The sequence below is a fragment of the Homo sapiens genome, chromosome 11 (genome assembly GCF_000001405.40).
Source record: "Homo sapiens chromosome 11, GRCh38.p14 Primary Assembly".
In the NCBI taxonomy this organism is placed as follows: Eukaryota; Metazoa; Chordata; class Mammalia; order Primates; family Hominidae; genus Homo; species Homo sapiens.
Genome location: NC_000011.10, coordinates 86,900,348 through 86,924,181, shown reverse-complemented (window position 1 = coordinate 86,924,181; position 23,834 = coordinate 86,900,348). Strand labels below are relative to the sequence as shown.

The following is a 23,834-nucleotide window of genomic DNA, read 5'->3' as shown; positions in this document are numbered from 1 at the left end:
TTTCACTCCCCTGCTGTCCTCCCAGCCTTGTCTTCTGAAGCTGGTGAACAATTAACCACCAGCAAGCAGCCCCTGTTTTCCGGCTCTCGATCTTACCTCCTTAGAAGCCTCCCTACATTTACTGCTAGGTGTCAATGATCTACCAAGCTTGAGAAGCACCGGGGCTTCCTCTCCATTCTTTAAGGATCCTCTTGTATACCCTTTTACAATGATTCTGATGATATACGATTCTTCTCAAGGAAATATATCTTAGGGAATAACCAAGCCAAAGCACCCACATTGACTCTTGAATCGTGTTTTCTGTTGGGAATTCTTACAAAGAACTGGAGAAAACGGGAAAAGATTCCAGGCCAGTTCTGTCACTTACAAGCCAGGTGACATTAGCCAAGTTTCTTAACTTCTGTGGGTCTTCTTTTTACACTTATTAAATGAGGAGGGTCATTCTTCCCTCTTAAGTGTGTTATACAGACTAAATAACAGTGTGTACAAAAGTGTTTGGCCCAGACTAGCAACTTAATCAGTTTTCTTACATAAGAAACTGTAGTCTAAAGTTCATATGATCATAGAATACTGGAACTAGAAAATGCCTTGTAGAGCTTGTATAACTTTAACAAGAGAGGAGGTCCAGAGAAAAAGTCTGAGATATACATATTCAATGACCTTTCAGCCAATTGGTGGCCTATAGTCTAGTTCTGCTTTGTCCATTAGAAATATAATGTATAAGCCATACATGTAATTTAAAATTTTCTAGTAATCACATTAAAGAAATAGAAGGTGGTTTATGCTGGTAATCCCAGCAATTTGGGAGGCTTAGGTGGGAGGATCACTTGAGTTCGAGACCACCCTAGGCAACACGGCAAGACCCCATCTCTACAAAAATATTTTAAAAAATTAGCTGGGTGTGTTAATGTGTGCTTGTAGTTCCAGTTTTTTGAGAGGCAGAGGTGGAAGGCTCACTTGAGCCCAGGAGTTCGAGGTTGCAGTGAGCAATGATCACACCATTGCACTCCAGCCTGGGCGACAGAGACCCCGTCTCAAAAAAAAAAAAAAAAAGTAGACAGGAACAGGTGAAATTAATTTTAACATATATTATTGAACCCGATGTATGTGATATATCATTTTAACATGTAATGGATATAAAAATTAATAATGAAATATTTTACATTTAGTAGCCCCAAAAAAGGGCTACTAAATTTTCAAAACCTGCTGTGTGTTTTGCATTCACAGCACAATCAATTCAGACTAACCACATTTCAAGTGCTTAATAGTCATATGAGGGTAGGACCTACAGTGCAGGTGTAGTTTAATTCAAGCCAGCAAACATTTTGTGCACCTGTTATATGCCAGGAAGTCTGTTAGATGCAGGAATATGAAGGTGAACAAACATACCAGGGTAATAGGCAGACAGCTCTGGAAAGCACAAATTATAATTCAATGCTGGGTGTCCCTTCCTGTCTAGGCTGCTGTATTATTTATTCATATGTTTGAGCAAATGTAGAAAAAAATTCTCTAGAGAATATCTATATCTTTAGGGCATTTTCTTCTGCTTAGATATCAAGGGATGGAAAGTATTTATTTTTACTGAGCTACTACTGTGTCCCAGGTATTGTATCTGCACTTGACAGGTATTGTCTCATTTAATCTTCATAGTGATGGTGTGAGGACATTATTTTGCCCATTTTATTTTTATTTTTATTTGTTTATTTTTTTTAGAGATGGGGTCTTGCTATGTTGCCCAGGTTGGTCTCTAACTCCTGGGCTCAAGCAGTCCTCCCGTCTCAGCCTCCCAAAGTTCTGGGATTACAGGCAAGAGCCACTGTACCTGGTCACATTTTGCCCATTTTAAAGAGGAGGAAATAAAAGTTGAGAGTGGTTAAGTAATTGTCCATCTGATTTATCAGAGGTAGACCTGGGACTCAATCTCAGAAACAAGGCATGTTTAACTTGGTCAGTATTGTCTCAGGGAGATTTGGAGAGAGGAATGTTCCTTGGCCATTATTATTTTTATCTATTTATAAACATTCCCAAAGTTTCCTGAATAATGTGACTGGAGCTTTATTTTAATAATAACTTTCCATTCCAGGTGACCAGTGGTCCTCCTTTCTGAAGGCTCTTGCTACAAAGGAAAGATGAGGATATTCTATTTCTTGATCCCTCTCAGCTACTGGGAGCTGCTTTGTGCCTTGGAAGCCTCAAGCTGAAATGGATGTCAGCCTCAAGTTTAACTCCAAGAGGGTTCACCTTGTTTCTTTGAACAAAATGTGCTGCCTGTTGCTTCCCTTTGCCAGGAGTGGTGTTCCCTTTTCCACAGGTCTGGACCACAGTGTCTCTAGCTCCCGCTCCTGGATACTTGGTTACTGTGTGTTTCGGTAAAAAAGCATCCACAACATGAATATCCACTAAGCTGTAACAGGGCCTGCTGCAACTATAGTATTTCCTGAAAAAGTATCAACTGCCACAAGGGCCACAAATAAAGTCTGTGAACTTGAAATAACCATGGAGAATGAAATGTTCTGATTCAGATCATCGGTGGGATTTCACTGGGAAATCTCCCACTGGGCAAGAGTAGATGATGGAGGAGGAGAAACAGTCACTAGAAAAAGGTGATACTTTGTATCAAGAAACAATTAAAAATTAGATCACATCCTGAAACATTAAGCATATGCTCCTTTGTGAGGCTTGCCTGGCTGAACTTGAACTGGATTGAGTGAATAATTTCTTAAAAACAATCAAAATCACAGATTTATTCTATTTTAAATACTTATATTTACTTATATTTCATTCAGAAATTAGTTAACAAATAATTTTTGAGTATCCTGGGAACTGTTCTAATCATTAAACATGCAAGTTTGAAGAAAGTAAGGATGAATCTGCCTGCGTGGGGCTCTCAATCTAGCGAGAAGCAGATAAGAAGACAAATGTCAGGGAAGATCACACAACCTTCAGGTAATATTTAAGCTGAGACCTCACTAGTTGCTAAGACTGGATTTCAGAGGTCAGGTTTGGATATACAAAATTTAGGAGCTGGTACATGACATTTAAAACCATGGGAATGAATGAGATTTCCTAGATAGAAAGAAGAAAAGAATATTGACATTTAATGTTGAACGGAGTAGGAGGAGCTGAACAGGGAGACCAGGAAGGAGCAGACAGTGAACCTGGAGCATGAATAGGAGAGTGGGTGTCATGGAAGCCAAGAGAAACAAGAATTCAAGAAAGAAAGTTTCTTACTGTAGCAAATGGCGCTGAGAGGGAAAGTAAGGCCATGGAATGATGACAATGACAACAGTGACGAAGGATCATTGAGTATGGTATCATGCTGACATTTGTTTCTACCCAGGCTAGGTCGTTACTGAGGGGTGGTAGCTAAGACAGGGTGGGTTGAACATGAGGAAATGAAGACAGAACATGAATTTTTGGAAAGTTTGGCTACAATGGGAAGTAGAGAAATGGGGTAATATCTGGAAGGGGAGGGAATTGAGTCAGTAGGGTTTTGTGTTTTGATTTTACGGTAGGGCATCTAGATAGATCATGTTTATGTACCTATTCCCACTCTGTTCTCTCTTCCTGAAGAGTCTCCTCTGGCAAACTCCATTCTGTAAACGTCCGTATTTAAGTGTCCTGTTCTCTGTCAAACATTCTTCCCAGGCCTAGTATGATGTTTGTCCCCAGGCTTCCATGCCATTATGTGTACACATTATCTGCCATAAGCTTACCTTATTGCATGGCAATGGAAGTTTTTCCTCCTTCTCTCTTCTTCATTAGACAAGAACAGGGTCTTGAAAAGTAGAGACTGTGTCTTCTCAAGTTCGGACTACTGGCACAGGTAGGTGCTCAGAACTTGGCACCAGGAAGATGCTTATTAAATATTTGAAGAACAAATAAGTAAATGAATGAATAGACTAACTGAGTTTGAAGGCAGTGCTATGGCAGATTTTTCTTATTTTATGAATGGAAAAACTATGGCATAGAACAATTTGGAATCTGATAATTTTACAAATTCGTAGGAGTGCTGGAAAACAGTAAAATCTTCAGTCTTGCTCCTTGAGCTGTTGCCCAGGTCCCTCTCTGGGACTGCACTAGCAGCCCTAAAAAACACCTGGGGCTGATACCCTCACATTCACACCAAACCGCAGACCTCACCACAGAAGCACAGGCCTTCACGCTGGCGTCTGCAGTCTACTTGTAGTTTGATTTTAGCAACATTGGCCAAGTTGAGGCTGGGAAGCAGCTGGTGAACAAAGGGTGGATGCACTTTTCTGAATCTAGGGGGAGACCAGGTTAGAGCCATGCTAAGTGAAGCTGCTAGGGTAGGTGGGCCAGGCAGGGGAACAGGCAAAGATACCCTTGGCTCCCTTAAACTTGGGCTAGAAAAAACAAAGACATGGCTCAAGGAGAACCACAAGGTGTCACTGTTCATCCTCAGTTAAACAAACACTGATTTGGGCAGGGACTTGAGAAACACTGCAAAGAACTTTATTTTGCAGATGAAGAAACGGAGGCCCGGGGAGGTAACATGATTTGACTAAGATCACGTAACAACTTAATGGCAGAACAATTATGAGAAACCAAGTCTCTTAACTTTCAGACTGGCAGGACCACTTTCTCCCATTGCTCCTATGAGATGGCATTTTGAGATGAGGAGTAAGCCTTCTCTACAATCATTCACTCAAGACAATGGCTTTCAATTAGAAATAGAACAGAAAAAAAACAAGAGAGAGAGAAGAAAAGAATGAAAAAAGCGCAGCATTCACTCTCACATGTGCCTTATTCAAAGTGCTGGGCTAAGATGCCAGTGCCCACAACGAGAGAGTGGCCCACAGGGCCTCCGTCTGTGGCAGGCTTGAATACCCGAATAGAAAAGTATCAGGTAAAGGATTTCATTCTTTTTATGGCTCCAACTTAAAAAGAGTCTGGTTCCCAAGGAAAACAGGAAGCCAAGTTGCTCAGCAAAGAATTGGCTGAAACCTAAGTAGGACCCAGATAAAAACATTTGCTGGATGGAAGGATGTGGGCAAATTTCTGGGCCCCGCTGCTTGGGGATGGGAAGCTATGAGGCAGAAGACCCTTTGTGAAACAGTGACCCGTGCACCAGGCATTTTTGCGGATGTCTGGAAACTGCGAGGCAGTGGAGGAGTCATAAGTTAGTTGGTTTTTTAATTCCAACTAACTTTACTCCACCAAGTATCTCAGGAGATTTCGCCTATGCTCTTTGGCCTGACTCCCACTAGGCCCTTACTCCTTCCATGGTGGCTTCTACTGGAGCCTCTTTCTTAGTTCCCAGGTTATTAAAATAATAATAAATTCAAAGAGCTTTGTTGTTTTCTTAGGTAATATAATTAATATGCGCTCATTACAAAAATTCAGATACCAAGTAGCAGAATGAAGAAAATAAAAGACATCTGTAGTCTCTCCATTCAGAAATAACTGCTGTTAGCATAATGCTGTATACATTCAGGCTGTTGGCCTGTGGAACACCTGGTATATGTCCTCGGCCCTGGGTTTACAGCTGTAAAGCTGGCACACACTAATCTCAGCTCTCACAGAGCCTACATTCTAATTGTCTGGGAGAGACAGACAATAATATTTTGTAAAAAAGTAAAATATATAGGATGTCAGATTGTGGTAAATGCTATGAAGACAGAGAAGGGGATGGGGATTTTAATGGTGGTGAGGTGGCAATTTAAAAATAGGATATTCAGAAAGTGACATTTGAACAAAGATCTGAAGCAGATGTGGATATCTGGGAGAAGACTTCTTTCTTTCTTTCTGTACATAGACAATAATGCAATTATAACATAAACAATATATGAATACATCTTTGATTTAAAATCTTCAAATAATACAGAAATATATGGGAAACAAGGGAACAACCTTCTCACCACCCTCCTATTACCTTCTCCTCTCTCCCAATAAGCACTTTGGCAATGGTGTGTTCCCTGCCCAAGCTTCATCTCTGCATTTACATTCATTTCTGTATATACTGACACAATAGCTTTATTTTATTTCCTACGTAAATGAGCTCATCCTTTGTGAAGGTGATATCTTTTTATTTTCAGCAAAAAGAGTCGTCTTAACATTTTCTAAAATTCAAAGGTATGTGAGAGCTATAGGCCTCATTACTAAAAATGAAATAGCTAAATGTGATTGCTAAGTGTGGGTAAATGTTTTACTTCTTCCTTTGGGCTAATAATCTAGCATATACTGAATTCTATTGAAATAATTTGTTTCTGCCTCTGTCTCTGCTACTACACAGTGAATTTTTTGTGGCCAGGGAATTAGGTCTTCGCATCTATTAATTTCCTGTGCTTGGTGCAATGCCCAGCATGTGGTGTTTGGTAAATGAATAGGCAATCAATTATACTTTCATACATTACTGTGGAAGGCTTCCAATACTGGGTGAGATATTGGCTGAGATCAATCATCTGCCCTAATGTGGTCCAATCTTTTCTCCATTGAAATATCTATGTCACTATGGGACACAGCCACTGTGGGATGATAGCCAGGATGACTGTGGTCAGATCCTACAAATCAGATAGTCCGATTTTAAGCATTAGAATTAAAAAATCAAGTAATGAGAGCTACCTTTCATTCCTCTTGCTGCAAGAAAAGAGTTAGGACACAAATGTGCTAAGCACTTGACCTAACACTTCTTGTTCAAGACACAAAAGTCTCAATGAAGTAGATATTATTTTGTGGACAAGGAAACTGAAAATCAGTGATTAATATGGATATTAGTTAGATCCATTCATGTGTCTACCATACAGACTTATCAGATCTTAACATTTCCCTATGTTTGCCTTAATTTTTTTCCCCAGAAATATTACACCAGAGGCCCACGATCACAAATTCATTGATTGATTGAGACGGAGTCTCACTCTGTCGCCCAGGCTGGAGTGCAATGGCACAATCTCAGCTCACTGCACCCTCCGTCTCCCGGGTTCAAGCGATTCTCCTACCTCAGTCTCCCGAGTAGCTGGGATTACAGGCTTGTGCCACCACGCCTGGGTCATTTTGTATTTTTAGTAGAGATGGGGTTTTGCCATGTTGGTCAGGCTGGTCTTGAACTCCTGACCTCACGTGATCTGCCCGCCTTGGCCTCCCAAAGTGCTGGGATTACAGGCGTGAGCGACCGCGCCCGGCTCCACAAATTTAATTGCAAACATTGGATGGCACATTTAAAAAGCCACTTAAAACAACTTTGTCATTTTATTCAATGGACATGAACTGAGCCTCGGTGCTGGGCTAAGCTGTACGGATACAGAAAGGTATAAAGCTCTGTCCTTGTGCTCACAGGGACTCACTTTTTAGTGGGGGTGGCAGACGTATAAGTTTTACAGTTGAGAAACTGAGGCACAGAGAGGGGTGGTTACTCTTTCAAGAGGCAAAGCCAGGTTTATACACCGGGGGTCAAACAAGCTGGCCTCTTGGTGGACTGGGAGGCCCCTACACATTCCTGGTCTGTTGGAACAGTGTGGATTCTGAGTGGGGGCACCTCTTCTCTGGGTGGGTCCAACTGGGAAGGGGAGCCAGTTTGACACAATGAAGCCGAATCTGTGAGAAGCACTCATGAGTGTTTTTCTCTCTTTCCACTAACCATCTTTTTGCTGCAAAGAATTAAATTCTTTTCTGGTGACACACACTTCCTGTCAGTATGAGGCACACCCAGCCAGACAAAACCACCCAAAGTAAATGAAGAAAAATCCTTTTAATTCCTCTAGGTCCACAGATTTGGTTTCTGCTGGATTGTTGCCATTTTCCCAGGGGTAAAGCCAGAGGTGGATTTGGGGAACAGCAAATAAGAACAATACACTGATAAGGGTAACACCAGTGACATGAAAACATTCACTATTTATTATCTCCAATTAAAATTCCATATTCTTATAAAAGCAATTCTCATCATAGAAAACTCAGAAAGCTACCAAAATTCGTGTTTATGGGTTTTTTTTGTAAAAAGAAAACCAAAATCTCTCAGTCTAAACTACAATCACTTTAACATTTTGATGTATAAACTTTCTTTTTAAATATTATATTTGTATGCATTATTTATTCTGGTCTGGTCATATAACTTTATATGACAAATACTTCCTTATATATTATGCACTTTGTTTTGTTTTGTTTTGTTTTGAGACAGAGTCCTGCTCTGTCACCCAGGCTGGAATGCAGTGGTGTGATCTCGGCTCACTGTAACCTCTGCTTCCTGAGTTCAAGCAATTCTTGTCCCTCAGCTTCCTGAGTAGCTGGGATTACAGGTGTGTGCCACCATGCCTGGCTAACTTTTTTGTATTTTTTTAGTAGAGACAGGGTTTCACCATGTTGGGCAGGCTGGTCTTGAACTCCTGGCCTCAAGTGATCCACCTGCCTTAGTCTCTCCCAAAGCGCTGGGATTACAGGCATGAGCCACCACACCTGACCCATTATGCTCTTTCAAATATAATTACAAATATAATATTTCATTATACAGTTGCTCTATAATTTAGTTGGTCAATCTATTGTTGGACATTTAAATTTTCTATCTTTCAGTTACTATATTATTACCACTTTAGCCAGGCACAGTGGCTAAATATGTATTATATATAATTATATGTTATATATATATTACTTATATACATTATATATTAGTTTTATATATATAATATATATTATTATTACGACTCTAAGCAGATATTTGCCTTATTGAGTGACATCACCGGCCTCTTTTCTTACATTATCTCATTTCCTTATAAGCCTCCAGAGTAGACATTATTACTGTATTATTACTGTTTTATAAATGAAGGAACTAGAATTCAAAGAGGATAAAAAACTGTCCCAAGTTCAAAGCCAGGCTTTACACCTAAGTCTCTTTAACTCCTGAGCCAACACTACCTATTGCCACACTCTGGGTGTGCCTGGTGCTCCCTAACCCACCCTGAGTTTTCTGTCTTACCAGAACATCATTACTTGTGATGTAAGAGTTTTCTTCTACTCTCCTTTGCTCAAAAAACTTAATCCTAGTCTCACTCCTTTCATGTTCCCATGAATCCCCTGGCCTCTTAGTAAAATTCGGGTTTTCCAATTAAACGCTCTCCATTTTAAAGTTCCCAGGCAGCTGGACTGATGCGATTGATGGTTCCCAACTGCTGTGCCATGTGCTCTGGTCCTCCTTCCTTCTCAGCTGTTCCCAGAAAGGCAGGCTATGAGGTTAATCACGTCTCTATGCTGTAAAACTGAATCCTGATACACTCACTAAAGCCCTCGTGGTTATTTGTGCCCCATTTGTATTCCCATTTATATTCTGAAACTTTTTCAAAATCTGAGATGCTCTCAGCAACTCAGTACATTCTAAACAGGATATTAAACTTTTAAAAAATGTATAAGGCTTAAAACTCTCTTCTAAATTCCAGACTTGGAACAGTTTAATTGACACCCACTCAGATGTTTTGAAACTTAACACATTCAAATCAGAATTATTGAAAGTTTTTATATGTGCAATGATTACATGTCAACTAAAAAGGGGAAAAAAGGTTCTGCCACATTATAATCCTTTTTTCCAACTGTTTATTTCTGTTATTTTGAAAGAACAATCAGATGGTACTTTTTTCAAAGACAGTCACATAAAAACTGAAACAAAATATAGATTAATTACATTTTTTGAAAATTGTGTGATACACGATTATGAAATTTGTAGAAATTTTATGTGGAAAAAGAACAAGGGAAATCGAGTGAAATGCTTTGAAGGCATCTATGACATAGGATGCTGTGCTCTTCCTCACCTTCCATTCACTTTTTAACCCTCTCCAATGTGCCTTTTCCACCATCTGAAATTGTTCTCACAAAGGTCACCAGTGACTTTCCAATTGCAAATCCAATGGGAGTTTTTTGGACCTCAGCTTACCTGATTAATTTGAGGCATTCAATGTTATTAATCAGTAACACTCCTTTTGCAACTTTCTTTCTTTTGTTGTTTTTTGTTTTTTGAGATGGAGTCTCACTCTGTCACCCAGGCTGGAGTGTAGTGGCACGATCTCGGCTTGCTGCAACCTCTGTCTCCTGGGTTCAAGCAATTCTCCTGCTTCAGCCTCCTGAGTAGCTGGGACTACAGGCACACGCCACCACGTCTGTGTCTGGCTAATCTTTGAGGTTTTTTTTTTTTTTTTTTTAGTAGAGATGGTGTTTCACCACATTCGTCAGGCCGGTCTCAAACTCCTGACCTCAGGTGATCCACCCGCCTCAGCCTCCGAAAACATTTGGATTACAGGCATAAGCTACCGGGTCTGGCCACAACTTTCTAGTCTCAGTGTCATCACAACCAGTTTCCAGCTTCTCTGACTTTTCTTAGCTACCCTGTTGTCCTATCACTCCCTGCCTCTTCTCCAGGGTTCAACCTCTGGTCCACTTCCCTTCTCACACTTCATAGGAAAATACCACTCAAGATCATTGCCTCCCCTCTCACCACAACCTACATCTCTATCCAAAAACTCTTGATATTTTAGTTCAGACTGTTTTTAGCTATTTTACTGCAGAGTTGGAATTTAAGAGTCTGGAGCTTGCAAATACAAACTTTCATTGCACTTGATTGCTGCTGTTCTGTGAACTCTCATTACCTTTTCCCTGGGTGGCTGCTATATATCCTGACTGGTTTCTCTATCCCTAGTCTCATTTCAGATCCATTCTCAACACTCCTTTAGAATACTTTCTAAAATATGGAAATCTGAGTTTCCACTTCTGCTACTGGCAGAATAGTTCCTATAAGACCAACCCTTCCACAAATAAAAACAGTAGACTATTGAAAAAAAAAAAAACACCAATACAAACCTGAAGGCTATGGAGAAGAACCAAAAACAAACGCTAGACAAGAGCCAGCATTTGGACAAAAAGACTATCATGTGTGAAATATGCATTTTTAATAGGTTTTTTTTTTTTTTTTTGCCTGAGGGCAGACCCCAGTGAGTACTAAGCAGGGCAGCTAAAATGCAGATAGATGCAGTCTTACCAAATAGAAGAATAAGAGGGAAGCATTCAGGGTAACTATAGCAGCTGTAAATTGGGATCAAGGGCAGGAGGATCCAAGAAAGGATAAAACAATGGAAAGGGAGCCCAAAATTTTATGTATAAAACTCTACCTAAGTCTCTGGCAATTCTCTGAACTATGCATGTGTAAGACAGACGTCAAGCAGCCCAACTAAGGCCAAAACAACTAAACAGAGATTTCACTTGGTGTCTGTTTTAGTGAGAGATAGAGATTGAATTTAGCCATGTTAATTACTGGCTAAAACAAACAAACAAATAAAAATAACACTTTTTGGATGAATGTAACAAAAGACAGAGTCCTTACAACATATCACTCACAATGTCCAAGACATAATCCAAAATTATTATAAAGAAACAGGGAAACATGACTCATATTTAAGAGAAAGGGCTAATAGAGACAAGCTCTGAGATGAACCATATGTTGGAATTAGTTGACGAGAATTTTAAAGTAGTTATTATAACCGTGGTTAAGGACATGAGAATAGACTTATAATGAATTAACAAATAGGAAATTACACTAGAGAAATAGAAATTAAAAAAAGAACCAAATGGAATTGAATCATATACAAAAAATGCAATATGAGAAATAAAAAATTCCCTGATTGAACTTCACAGTAAATTGTAGATGACAGAAGAAAGGGTTAGTGAACTTGAAGAGCAGTCAGTAGAAATCACTGACTTGCAGAACAGAGAGAAGAAAAATTGGAAAAAAAATGAACAGAGCCTCAGGGAAAGTAGGCCAATATCAAAGGCCTAACGTGTGCAATTGGAGTCCCAAAGACTAGAAGCTAGAAAATGGGGCAGAAGACATTTTTGAAGAAATTATATCTAAAAGCTTTCCAAATGTAATGAAATGCATATGTTCTCAGATTTAAGAAGTTTAATGAATCTCCAATAGGGTAAGTACAAAGATAACCATCACATAATTCAGTAGTAAACAACAGTAACAACAATGACAACAAAGCCTATGGTTATGTCTATAATCTTTTGGTGCAAAACCTTCTTGTCTTGTCTTTTTCTGCTTATCACCACCCTCTTTCTTATTTTCACCAATCTGGAGATGCATATACAAAAACATTTTAAAATCCACTTTTTGGCCAGGTGCAATGGCTCATGCCTGTAATCCCAACACTTTGAGAGGCCGAGGCGGGAGGAATGCTTGAGCCCAGGAGTTCAAGACCAGTCTGGGCAACATAGGGAAACCCTGTCTCTGCAAAAATAAAAAAATTAGCTGGGCATGGTGGCACATGCTTGTGGTCTGAGCTACTGACCACTGAGCTACTGAAGTGGGAGGATTGCTTGGACCTAGGAGGTTGAGGCTGCAGTGAGCTGAGATCATGCCATTGCACTCCAGCCTGGGTAACAGAGCAAGACCCTGTCACACTCACACACACACACACACACACACACTCCACTTCGTTTCTAATCATGGTGTATAGATGCAAGCAATATTGTTGGTTCTATGACAATACTTTTAAAACTACAAAAACAAATTTGAAAGTGATGTGATGTGAAAAAGAATGAAATCATGTCATAGCCACATGGATGCAGCTGGTGGCTATTATCCTAAGTGAAATAACTCACAAACAAAATCCGATACTGCATGTTCTCAATTATAAGTGGAAGCTAATCAATGGGTACATATGCACATAAAGATGGAAATATTAGATACTGGAGACTCCAAAAGGGAGGAGGATGGAAGGAGGCCAGGGTTGAAAAACTACCTGTTGGAAGTTTTGGGGTACTATGTTCACTATTTGGGTGATGAGTTCACTTGAAGCCCAAACATCAGCATTATGCAATATACTCACGTAACAAACCTGCACATGTACCCCATGTATTTATAATAATAAAAAGTAAATTAAAATATTTCTATATAAAAATAATTTAAAAAGAAAGTGATGTGGTGGAAAGGGATAGGATTCCTTATAAGCTAATTATATATAAAATACTCTCCTGCTCTTTTTTATTTATAATTCAATCATTCCCTAATTAATTTATTCATCTAATCATGAAACTTGTTTAGTCACCTACTTGGGGGCAGGTACTGAGGACGTGATGACAAATAAGGAAATCTTTACCCTTTAGAACTCATCATGTAATGATCCATACTGGTCACTTTGAGATTCTGGTACTTCTAAAAATAACTTATTATTTTTACTTCTTATTATAAAAATCATACATGGGACATTTAGAAGATATAGGAGAGCAAAGGTAAGAGAATTCACTGTGAATTAATTATTCATTGAACACCTATTTTGTGCCATTGACTATCCTTATTGCTGGGAGCACAGCGTTTAAAAAAAAACCAAAAACCTTTCTCCCACTCTAATAGATGAGTCACATAATGGGAAAACAAACAAATGTATCATCTATTAAAGTGGGAGAACTTGGTTTTGTAGTTTTAAAAGTATTGTCATAGAACCAACGATACTGCTTGCATCTATACACCATGATTAGAGAGGAAGTGGATGGAGAGTGTGTGTGTCTGAGAGAGAGAATATTTAGAATGCCAAAAGCGGGCACTTCAAGGAAGGCTTTTTTTATTTAAAAAAAATTAGCTCATTCTACATACTTTAGAAATTACCTTTGAGTAGCAAATGTTAAGGATATAAATACTTTGCACGTATATTCCTTGTTTATAGTTAACCATATGTTATTTTTTACCTGCAAAATACTAAAACATATTCTACCTACGTGCAATCTAAGTTTTGTAGCAGAGTCTTTTTACGGGGGCCAAACAATTCTGGACTAATTTTTAAAACCCTGAAATGGCTCACTGTTTTGAGGTTATTTTGATGGAGTATGAATTTACTTCTTTGTCATTTGGAGAAGGTGCACAGTATTATTATGAACAGAGAAGAGCTGTATGAAAACTGATCTTCCAGCATCTATCATCTCCTTTTAGTCTAATGAGATACTGCCATTATCTCCTGATGAAATATTGTTCTAGAAAACCTTACCCCATCATACGATTTCTGCAGATCTTACAGGAGCAATCTGAGCTCAAGCAATATTAATTACTGTTTCATTTGTCCATTTGTCTGTGTATAATCATGTATTTTAATGATCTTCTATTTTCTATGGTTTGTGTAGATTTGGAGACTAATTCAAAAGAGTTGAAGTTTTTTGGACATGTTTAGTTGAATGTGCAGTTCTCTTTTGAAGAATCCTGTCTCCAAATCCTGTTTTGAAAAGAGTGTTGATGAGTAGCACAGCACCTGTCATATTGTGAGTGTGCAATAAAATCATGCCTTTTCAGCAGACCTTAACTAAAGAGTTAATTTTATTTATTTAAATCCACCTTTCAGATGACTCTCATTCTGCTTTGTCAGTGGTTGACGAGGGTAAAGGCACTTGAGGATGCACAACACACAGGACAGGGAGCAAGCCTTTCTCAGTGCGGAGAGCTAGGATAAACTTTTGCTTAGAAAGGGGTACATTAATGACAAAGGATCACAGCATTATGGGAGGATACTACACACCTGTTCTTCAGGGAGTACTCTGGACATCCCTGTTCTTTCCCCACATGGCAGGTGTCTTTTCAGGTGCTCCCAACCACACTACCCTGAATTCCCATATCCGGGTTGCCCTCTATGCCAGCCTCTCCTCTTAGCCTTGAATTTAGCTTTGTTGCTTAAGGCAAGTCACTTCCCTCTCCGGGTATGTTTCTTCTTCTGAAAATGGATGCAGTTGAACTAGATGAGAGCCAGGTGGCTTCAATTGATGTGCGGTGGCCCTCTGCCCTGCTTACTTTCATCTCCACCACTCCAAGGTGGCTCACAAACACGAATCCTCAGCCCCTTGGATTGGGTTCAGGGGAGTGCTATCAGGAACCCATGGGAGAGACAGGAATGTTTTCAGAAACCTCAGCCTGTCCTCTTTTTACTGAAATAGGGGCCCTTGTTGATGGTAGTCACTGCCCATGCTGTTTAGCCTAAGGAAGGTGACAGTGGGTGGGCCACCTCAGGCCATATGGAGGAAGGCCTGGCACAGAAACACAAGGCCAGGCAGGCTGTGGCTAGCCTGAATTTAGCTGTAGCCTCAGAATCAGGGGACTTGGGCTTGACAGCTGACATTACATGGTGCACAACTCTGGTTAAGTCACTTAACTTAAATCTTATCCCCTCATCTGTAGATGGCTTGAAGACCAAATTAAGGAGCTCCTTCAACAAATACATTAAAAAAAAAAAAAAGAAAAAGATAAGCCATAAGGCACATACGAATCACTTGGGAATCTTGATAAAATGCAAATTTTGGTTTGGTAGATCTGGAGTGGGGCTAAAAATTCTGCATTTCTAACGAGCTCCAGGGTGAACCTAGCTGATATTGCTGCTGCTTGAGTGGGCCACACTCTGATGAACAAGGATAGAAACCATTACAATAGTTGAAAATGAAAATAACAATGAATTATATAAACCCCACCCCCCTCACACCACTTTCACGTCTGATATTTTTCAGTTAACCTAAAAATGTTTATTATTACCTAATAAACATTTTCCATGTTTCTACAGATTATATGGACCGCAAAGTTTCTGTAATTACTATTATGGAGTAGCTACACAGTATCCCATAGTGTTGAACTAGCATCATTTATCCAATTGCTTCCCTCACACTGGACCAGTGAGTCCTAGGAAGTGGCTGCAAGGAAGCAGCAGGTTTCTGGGACAGCCCAAGGGCATTTCTTATTTCCTCCTGTTCCTCCCTGGGATCAATCTGTAGGAGTAAACTGACTGAAGACTGTGAACACCTTCATGAACTCCTGTGACTTTGGACTTGTTTTCCAAAAGGCCAAAATTATAGATATGTACATATTTTGATTATTAAAAATATGTGTTTCCTTGTACATTGTTGGTGAGAATGCAAAATGGTGAAGCTGCTATGGAAAGCAGTATGGAGTTTCCTTAAAAAATTAAAAATAGAATTACCATGTGATCCAATCAATAATCCCACTTCTGGGTATTTATTAAAAAGAATTGAAATCAGGATCTTGCACTCCCATGTTCATTGCAGCATTATTCACAATAGCTGACATGTGGAAACAACCTAAATGTCTGTAGATAAAGAAAATGTGTCATATACATACAATGGGATATTTTTCAGCCTTAAAAAGGAAGGAAATCCTGCCATATGCAACAACATGAATGAATCTTGAGGACATTATGCTAAGTGACATAAGCCAGTCACAGGACAACTACTGCGTGATTCCCACTGACGAGGAATCTGAAATAGTCAAACTTGTAGGAGCAGAGAATAGATGGTGGTTGCAGGCACTGGGGGTAGGGAAAAATAGAGCTGCTATTCAACTGGGTATAAAGTTTCAGTTATGCAGCTGGATAAGTTCTAGAGAACTGCTCTACAACATTGCACTTACAGTTAAAACGACGGCACTATGCACTTGAAAATTTGTTAAGGCCAGCGTGGTGGCTCACACCTGAAATCCCAGCATTTTGGGAGGTTAAGGCAGGCGGATCACTTCAGCCCAAGAGCTTGAGACCAGCCTGGGCAACACAGAGGGACTCTGTCTCTACGAAAAATACAAAAATTATCTGGGCGTGGTGGTGTACACCTGCAGTCTCAGCTACTCGGGAGGCTAAGATGGGGGGACTGCTAGAGCCCAAGAGGCTGCAGGGAGCCATGATGGCACAGTGTGCTCTAGCCTGGGTGACAGAGTGATACCCTGTCTCAAAAAAACACAAAAAATTGTTAAGAGGATAGATCTCATGTTAAGTGCTCTTACCACAATTTTAAAAAAGTTCCCTATAGAAAAGTATTTTTAAAATGACAATTTCCCTAACACCACTGCTAACATTTTGATTGAAAAAAAAATCATTAATTTGTTCAATAAACATTTATCATACACTTAGAATGTGCCAGGTTCAGTGTTATGCATGAGGATGCTACAGCGAACAGTTTTTCTTTCTAGGCATATGTCCAACATTATCCATCAGTCAATCTATATAACAAAAAGTAGATACAATACAAAAATATACATGTACGTATATACACTACAAGATGTTTTTATTCATGTTTTATGTGAATAGCAAGACCAAAAAAATCATTAATTGGGCCCAGTTTAGGCCAGCAATGGTATTCTGTCCCCTGGATGTACACAAATAAAAACAACGCAGCTCATTCCTTTTAAGCATCTTAAAGTATACCAAAGTTTGTTAACAGCCAGGTATGCACACGACAGAGAATGAGTTCCCTGACATCAGCCGGAATCTATCACCGGGTAAAATGGATGGAAACCTCTCCCTGCTACTTACTGCTTATTGCTGTTCAGGCACTGTTTAATTTCTCGGTGCCTTAATTTGTACAGAGATACAAATGCCATCTCTGGTTGTGGCTGAGAAGAATGAATGAAATAACGTACCTAAAATGTTCACAGGGCCTAGCATATGGCAAGCGCTCCCTAAATAGACATTGCTTTTGTTGTCATTAGTGCTAGTGATAGAGGACCTTGGGTTTGGGCCTCATTGTGCCACTAACCAGCAGTGTTATTTTGGGCAGCAGTGCTGTCCCTGGACCTCAGCTCTACCTCTGGGAAATGCAGGGTATGGAGGAAACTGGTAGTTCAGCATTTGGAGATTCGTGGCAAACTATCAGGCACAACTCCTTGAAATCTTCCGGAGTTGGCGAGGCACTGCGGGGCTGATTAGATGGGGGGCAACCTCGCGGTCCCAGCTACAACCTCGCCGAGCCAGCCTCCAGCCCCTAAGGTGCGCCGGGGTGGCGCAGGGGCGGGCAGCTGGGCGAAAGCGAGTACCAGGCGGAGGGCGCAGCCTCAGGGGGATCCTGGGCGAAGAGCTGAGGGTGGCGCTGGTGGGGGCCTTTGAGAGGCCGCAGCCGAGCCCATGGCTTAGGGTTTCGATGAAAACAATAGCTGCGAGGTTTGGTTTCCTGGGCACAAGGGTGGAGAAGGCCCGGGAACCCTTCCCTTTCCAATCCCGGTGTGGCCTTCTGACTGGCAGACAATATTAGAGGTATTAGCTTTCCTCTTGCCCCCGCCCCCCGGCCCCGCCAGGCCCTGGCCCTTCCTGCAAGGCAATAGTGCGCCTGAGAAATCCCTGTGGTGCCTTGTTCTCTCTACAAAGGCAATGAATTCTCAGCACAATTTGGCTTGGAGTAGGCTCTCAAGATAATTGTTGAATGAATGAATGAATGAGTGAATGAGTGAATGAATGTCATCAGTGGGGATGGGCCTAGGGCACCAGCAAGATCAGGAGATCTCATCTTTCATCCTCACCTTCTTTGTTCACTCCATTTGTTCACATCTGTACAGAATTTTCACCGTTGTGTTGGTCACAGCGGGTTGGTGCAAAGGGGTCATGTTTTCAGGTAAGAGCAGCATTGCATAGTGAGCAGAAACCCCAGATGAGTGGGACTTCTCTGAGTTCTGTGTCCACACCTTGGGGACTCAGACGTCTATTCCTGCCTTCTATTAAGCTTGACAGCAAACTCAGCAGATGTAAATATTGACACCTTCTGGAAAAGTGTGAAGGTATTTGTTAAAGAAAACCTTAAAGAAAGGGAGGCAGACATTGTGAGACTTTTTATGCCTTTCAGGGTAGCTTCAGGACTTCTGGATGGTTTAATATGCTTCAACTCAGCATATGACCTAATGATTCATTTCTTAGAAGTTGAATCTGAAAGGAGTGAGGTTTTTAGCTGGCATTTTATTTTGTGTCTGCTTGTGGCGGGAAATAACAGATTCATATATGACTCTCCACCTCCTGAAGAGGCTAGAGCAAGAGTATCAATGATGTGCCGTAGGAAGAGCACCATACGTTTGAATGGTGCCTTATCACTGTCCTGGGCTTTCACATGCTTTATCATGCTTAAAACCCATAGCCCTGTGGAATAGCCAGAAAGAGATTATTATTCCAATTTTCCAGCATTGTTACTTCAGTTATTGAATAGCCACTATGTGCTGAATATTAGAGGTACAAAGAGAAGGAAGGCCTATCTCTGCCTTTAGCGCACAGTCTAGTGAAAGAGAAAGATATGCACATGGATCATTTCGGTATGACATGTTACCTGATAGGGTAGATCAAGCCCAACATCTGTTTTTGAAAATAAATGGGTTTTTTTGTTTTTGTTTTGTTGCTGTTTTGAGACAGGGTCTAACTCTGTCCCCCAGACTGAAGTACAGTGGTATAACCATAGCTCACTGCAGCCTCTAACACTCAGGCTCAAAGGATCTTCCCATCTCAGCCTCCCAAGTAGCTGGGACTACAGGCATGCACCACCAGGCCCTGCTAATTAAAACTTTTTTTTTTTTTTTGGTGGAAATGGATCTCAATATGTTGCTCAGGCTAGTCTTAAACTTTTGGCCTCAAGCAATCCTCCTGCCTCAGACTCCCAAGATTCTGGGATTACAGGCATGAGCCACCATATCTGGCCCAGTGGTAAAGTTTTACTGGGACACAGCTTTACTCATTTATTTATATGTTGTCCACAGATGCTTTTGTGCTACAATGGCAGAGTTTAGTGTAATAGTTGTGACAGAGGCTATCCGGCCTACAGAGCCTAAAGTATTGACTATTGAACATTTATAGAAAAAGTTTGCTAGCCCATAGAATAGAGGAATAATGCTCAGGTGGGCGGGTATTTAGAGTTGGGGTACATAGCACCACCTGGGAGTTGAGAAAGGCTTCCTGGGAAAGGCACTGCTTGAGCTAGAAGCTGAAGGGTAAGACTTGTGGGAGTTAGAAGGATAAGATGGGTACTCCAGGCAAAGGAAAGCCAAGGGACTAAACTGCTAGAACCACAAGCAGTTCATGATTACTAGGATACAACATGCAAGATGGGGACGGAAGCAGATGAGGAAATCAGTCTCGACTTGGGTGATTTGCTGGAGGTGATGTGTCTAGGTGGGGCAGGACTAAAATCCAGGTTTTCTAACTGGCAGCCCTATGTGCTTATCACAACAGCAAGGACAGCAAATACACAGCACCCATGTTGTCATTCCTTCAACCTGGGTCCACAGTGGCCAGTGCTAAGTGAGCACAGAAGTCTTTTCTGCAGCTTTATTTGTACTCCAGGTGACTGTTTGTAGAGTGAGTGTGCATGTTCAGACCTATATGCTATCCCTGATTTACCTCATTCCAGCCATAGTGAGAAGGTTTTAGATTTATTTTTCTCTGAAGCTATTAGAAAAAGCCTTCAGAAGCAAAAGCTATCAATTCAAGCAGCCCTATTTCAGCACATTCTAAATTATTGCTTACCCTGCCTATGCCAGGTCATACACCAGGTGGTTTACACACTTTATCTATCTTAATCCTCACTTCAAGATCATGAGGGAGGTAGAATAAATAAGTCACTTACCCAGGGGTCTGGAAGTAAGCATTTTAATTGTTCAAAAAGATTTTAAAAGATTATATGTAGTCCGGGAGTGGTGGCTCATGTCTGTAATCCCAGCACTTTGGGAGGCCGAGGCAGGTGGATCATGAGGTCAGGAGATCAAGACCATCCTGGCTAACACAGTGAAACCCCAACTCTACTAAAAATACAAAAAAATTAGCCAGGAGTGGTGGTGGGCACCTGTAGTCCCAGCTACTCAGGAGGCTGAGGCAGGAGAATGGCATGAACCCAGGAGGTGGAGGTTGCAGTGAGCCGAGATCACACCACTGCACTCGAGCCTGGGCAACAGAGCGAGACTCCGTCTCAAAAAAAAAAAAAAAAAAAGATTGTATGTTAAAAATTACAATACTTAAGGAACAACTTGGTGTTGTGGTACTGTATAGGGCTGGGTTGTAAATGACCAGTGGGCATGCCAGAGGCTCAGCCCATACATCGCTAGTGGGGTATGAACCATTATGCATGATTGCAGTGACCTTGTGACCTGTAGCTTGTAAAACAGAAGCTGGGATGATTATTGTTTGTTTATATTTTGCTGGATATCATATTTTTTATACCTTTTAACTGTGATTGTGGAAATTGACACTAGACATCCATCCCTTAATCCATGTAGTAGGTAAGAACATACAGATAAACACAGGGCAGTGGGGAGGGGAAAGAAAAAAGAAAGGTAGGAAGGAAAGAAGGAAGAAATATATCCAGAAGATGCAAGACCTGGATCAAATGGTAGCAGGAAAAGTTCTTTTGAAGATATCTAAGTGTTGGAAATATCATTCATCCAGGACAGGTAAGGTCCTGGACATTCCAGTGAGCAATTTCCCTCTGTGCTGTTATTTTTCATATTTTGGAGAGAACACTAAGGCCTGAAGAGGTTAGATAGCTTGCCCATGCTACTTAGTGGTAGACTCAGAATTTCCACACTGGCCTTCCAGAGTCCACAATCCAAGATCTTAACTACGATTATATTCATCTTTGATCCTTGGGAAGAAGGGAAGACATTTTCAATTCAGGCTTGAAAACATAAAGTAGCTGAATGAAGCAGTGTGGAATTAGCAGAGAGCAGAAAAAGTAAGCACCAGTCTGTGTCTTGATATCATGTTGTTTACATCTTGCTTTGGATTTTTTTAAACTGTCTTTCTAGAAAAAACATAGGTAGTAGCATCATGTACACTAATCTTTTCTCCTCAGTTATCCACATCTGGAAGTAGTTTGATAGCTAGATGTATGATATCATGCCTGTTAGCTGTTATCTGGTGGCAGCTCACCAATTATCCAATTTCTAGGGCATCTCTCTTTAAAATCTGTTTCAGAAGTCTTGGTCTGACAGAAAGCCAGGTACACCTGAAGTGGCCGAAGCTTGGGTGAGGACCCTTATCTAGGTCATCCAAAGATAAGAATGAGATAAGCTGAATAACAGGTCTTAAGAAAGAAAAAAATTAAGTACCAATGCCTAGTCCAAGGATAGAGAAGACTCCAGCTGGGAGATATTGCCAAAGGTCAGAAGACATGCTGAGTCTAAATAGAGCAGTAGAAATTGGGAGCAAATAGATAAGGTTTTAGGGGAGGGGTTGTAGAGAATGTCCCTATAGTTTCTGAGCACAGGTGGCTCAGTTTATAAGTACATAATCTTCCTAAATGAATATTCTAAGGGTCAACTTTATTTCAGTGAAAGAAAACTCCACAAATTGCTTAGACACACTCCCATCTATCCATCATCTATGTAGACATTCAGTAGACATGAATTGACAATCTACTCTGTGCTCAGCACCATTCTAGGCTCCAGGTAAGCAAAGATGAGCAACACCCAGTTTCTACCTTGAAGGATCACCCATGCCTGGTTCAGTAGAGACAGAGACATGAGTTTCCTTTTTATCTATTTTCCCCCAGAAGTACCCTGGTTTTCATAAATGACCATGGCTTGACATGCCATTATGATAATAATGTATAATTAGTGGAAAACCAAAGGAATGACTGGAAATTGTCTTTAGTTATGGGAACAGCTGGGCTTCTCAGGATAACGCTGGAAAATACTATACTATGTGAGCAAGGTCTGTAGGGTCCGGGTTTCTCTGGAGGTACAGCTAATTCCCTTCCAAATGCCAGCTTTAAATTCTGACATTTTGGCATTTATGTGAATGACTGTATGACTATATATGTAGGTGATCGGCCCTCTCAAGAGACTTTGAATTAGAGGCTTTCTGGTTTTGATAAATGCACCTTCTTTTCCTCAAAGTCCTTTATAACTTTTTAGACCAGTGACCTCCCTTCTTAGCATCTCCTTGGCTAGAAGCAGAAGACAGTCAACCTACCATTTTGACTGTAATTCAATTTGGTTTCAGGCACTTTTAATAATTTGGTATTCTGTTATGAGATGAGGTATACAGGCCACCTCTACTCTTTCAGTTCCGACAGCAGGAATAGAAAAGATGGTAGTTTTGTTCAAGCCAGCCATTCATTTATTCTCTAAACATTTATCATGCCCTCTGCTGGGACAAGAGCTGTTTTCGGTTCTTGGTATATAATGTAGATAAAATAGGTGCATATTGGTCAATGTCCCCATGAGGTTTACTCTCCATCAGGTGTAGGGTGTCAGACATTTGGCAAATAACCTCACAAATAACAAAGTGTTAATAAGGAAAAGACTAGGCTGTTATGAATGTACAATAGTGGTGGGCCTAATTTGGATTGGGAGACAGGGAAGACCTCTTTAAGAAAGAGATGATAAGCCGGGTATGGTTGCTCATGCCTGTAATCCCAGCACTTTGGGAGGCTGAGGTGGGCGGACCACCTGAGGTTAGGAGTTCGAGACCAGCCTGGCCAACATGGTGAAACCCCATCTCTACTAAAAATACAAAAGTTAGCTAGGTGTGGTGGTGGGTGCCTGTAGTCCTAGCTACTTGGGAGGTTGAGGCAGGAGAATCGCTTGAACCTGGGAGGCAGAGGTTGCAGTGAGCCGAGATCGCATCACTGCACTCCAGCCTGGGCGACAGAGCGAGACTCCGTCTCAAAAAAAAAAAAAAAAAAAAAGAGAGAGAGATAATAATGCTGAAATTTGAAGGAGTGGGTACTAGCCAGGCAGAGTCTGAGAAAGAGATTCCAGGGAGAGGGAGCAGCATATGTGTAGACTCTGAGCTGAAAAGAAGAGGATGCCGCCTATATACTGTCAGAGGCAAACACAGGTGTGACATAGTCATGGTGGGGAAGAGTGGCACAAAATGAGCGTGGTGAGGTGGCTCAGAGCCAGACCATGCAGGGCCCTGTAGCACCTGGTAAAGAATGTGGATTTCATTCTGAGTACAGTGGGAAGTCACAGGCAGGTGGCAAGCAGAAAAGTAGTATGATCTGCTTACATTACAAAATATCTCTGAATTCTGTGTGCAGAATGGATCAGATATGCATTTAAGAAAAGCAGTACACAGCCTGAGTCATCAAATGCATATTGCAAGGTGGGCACAGAGCCT

General features: G+C 40.9%; 1 protein-coding gene and 1 long non-coding RNA gene across 4 annotated transcripts in view; one reads left to right on the top strand and one right to left on the bottom strand.

The window, feature by feature from the left end:
* The window catches only part of PRSS23 (serine protease 23), a 161,840-nt gene that overhangs the window by 28,729 nt on the left and 109,277 nt on the right, over nt 1-23,834 (bottom strand). The gene's annotated exons all lie outside the window — the stretch shown is intronic.
* The window catches only part of PRSS23-AS1 (PRSS23 antisense RNA 1), a 50,139-nt gene that overhangs the window by 14,304 nt on the left and 12,001 nt on the right, over nt 1-23,834 (top strand). Inside the window, exon 2 of the long non-coding RNA NR_187135.1 lies at nt 2,084-2,946. This is a non-coding gene — a long non-coding RNA (PRSS23 antisense RNA 1). The remainder of the gene's footprint in view (nt 1-2,083; nt 2,947-23,834) is intronic.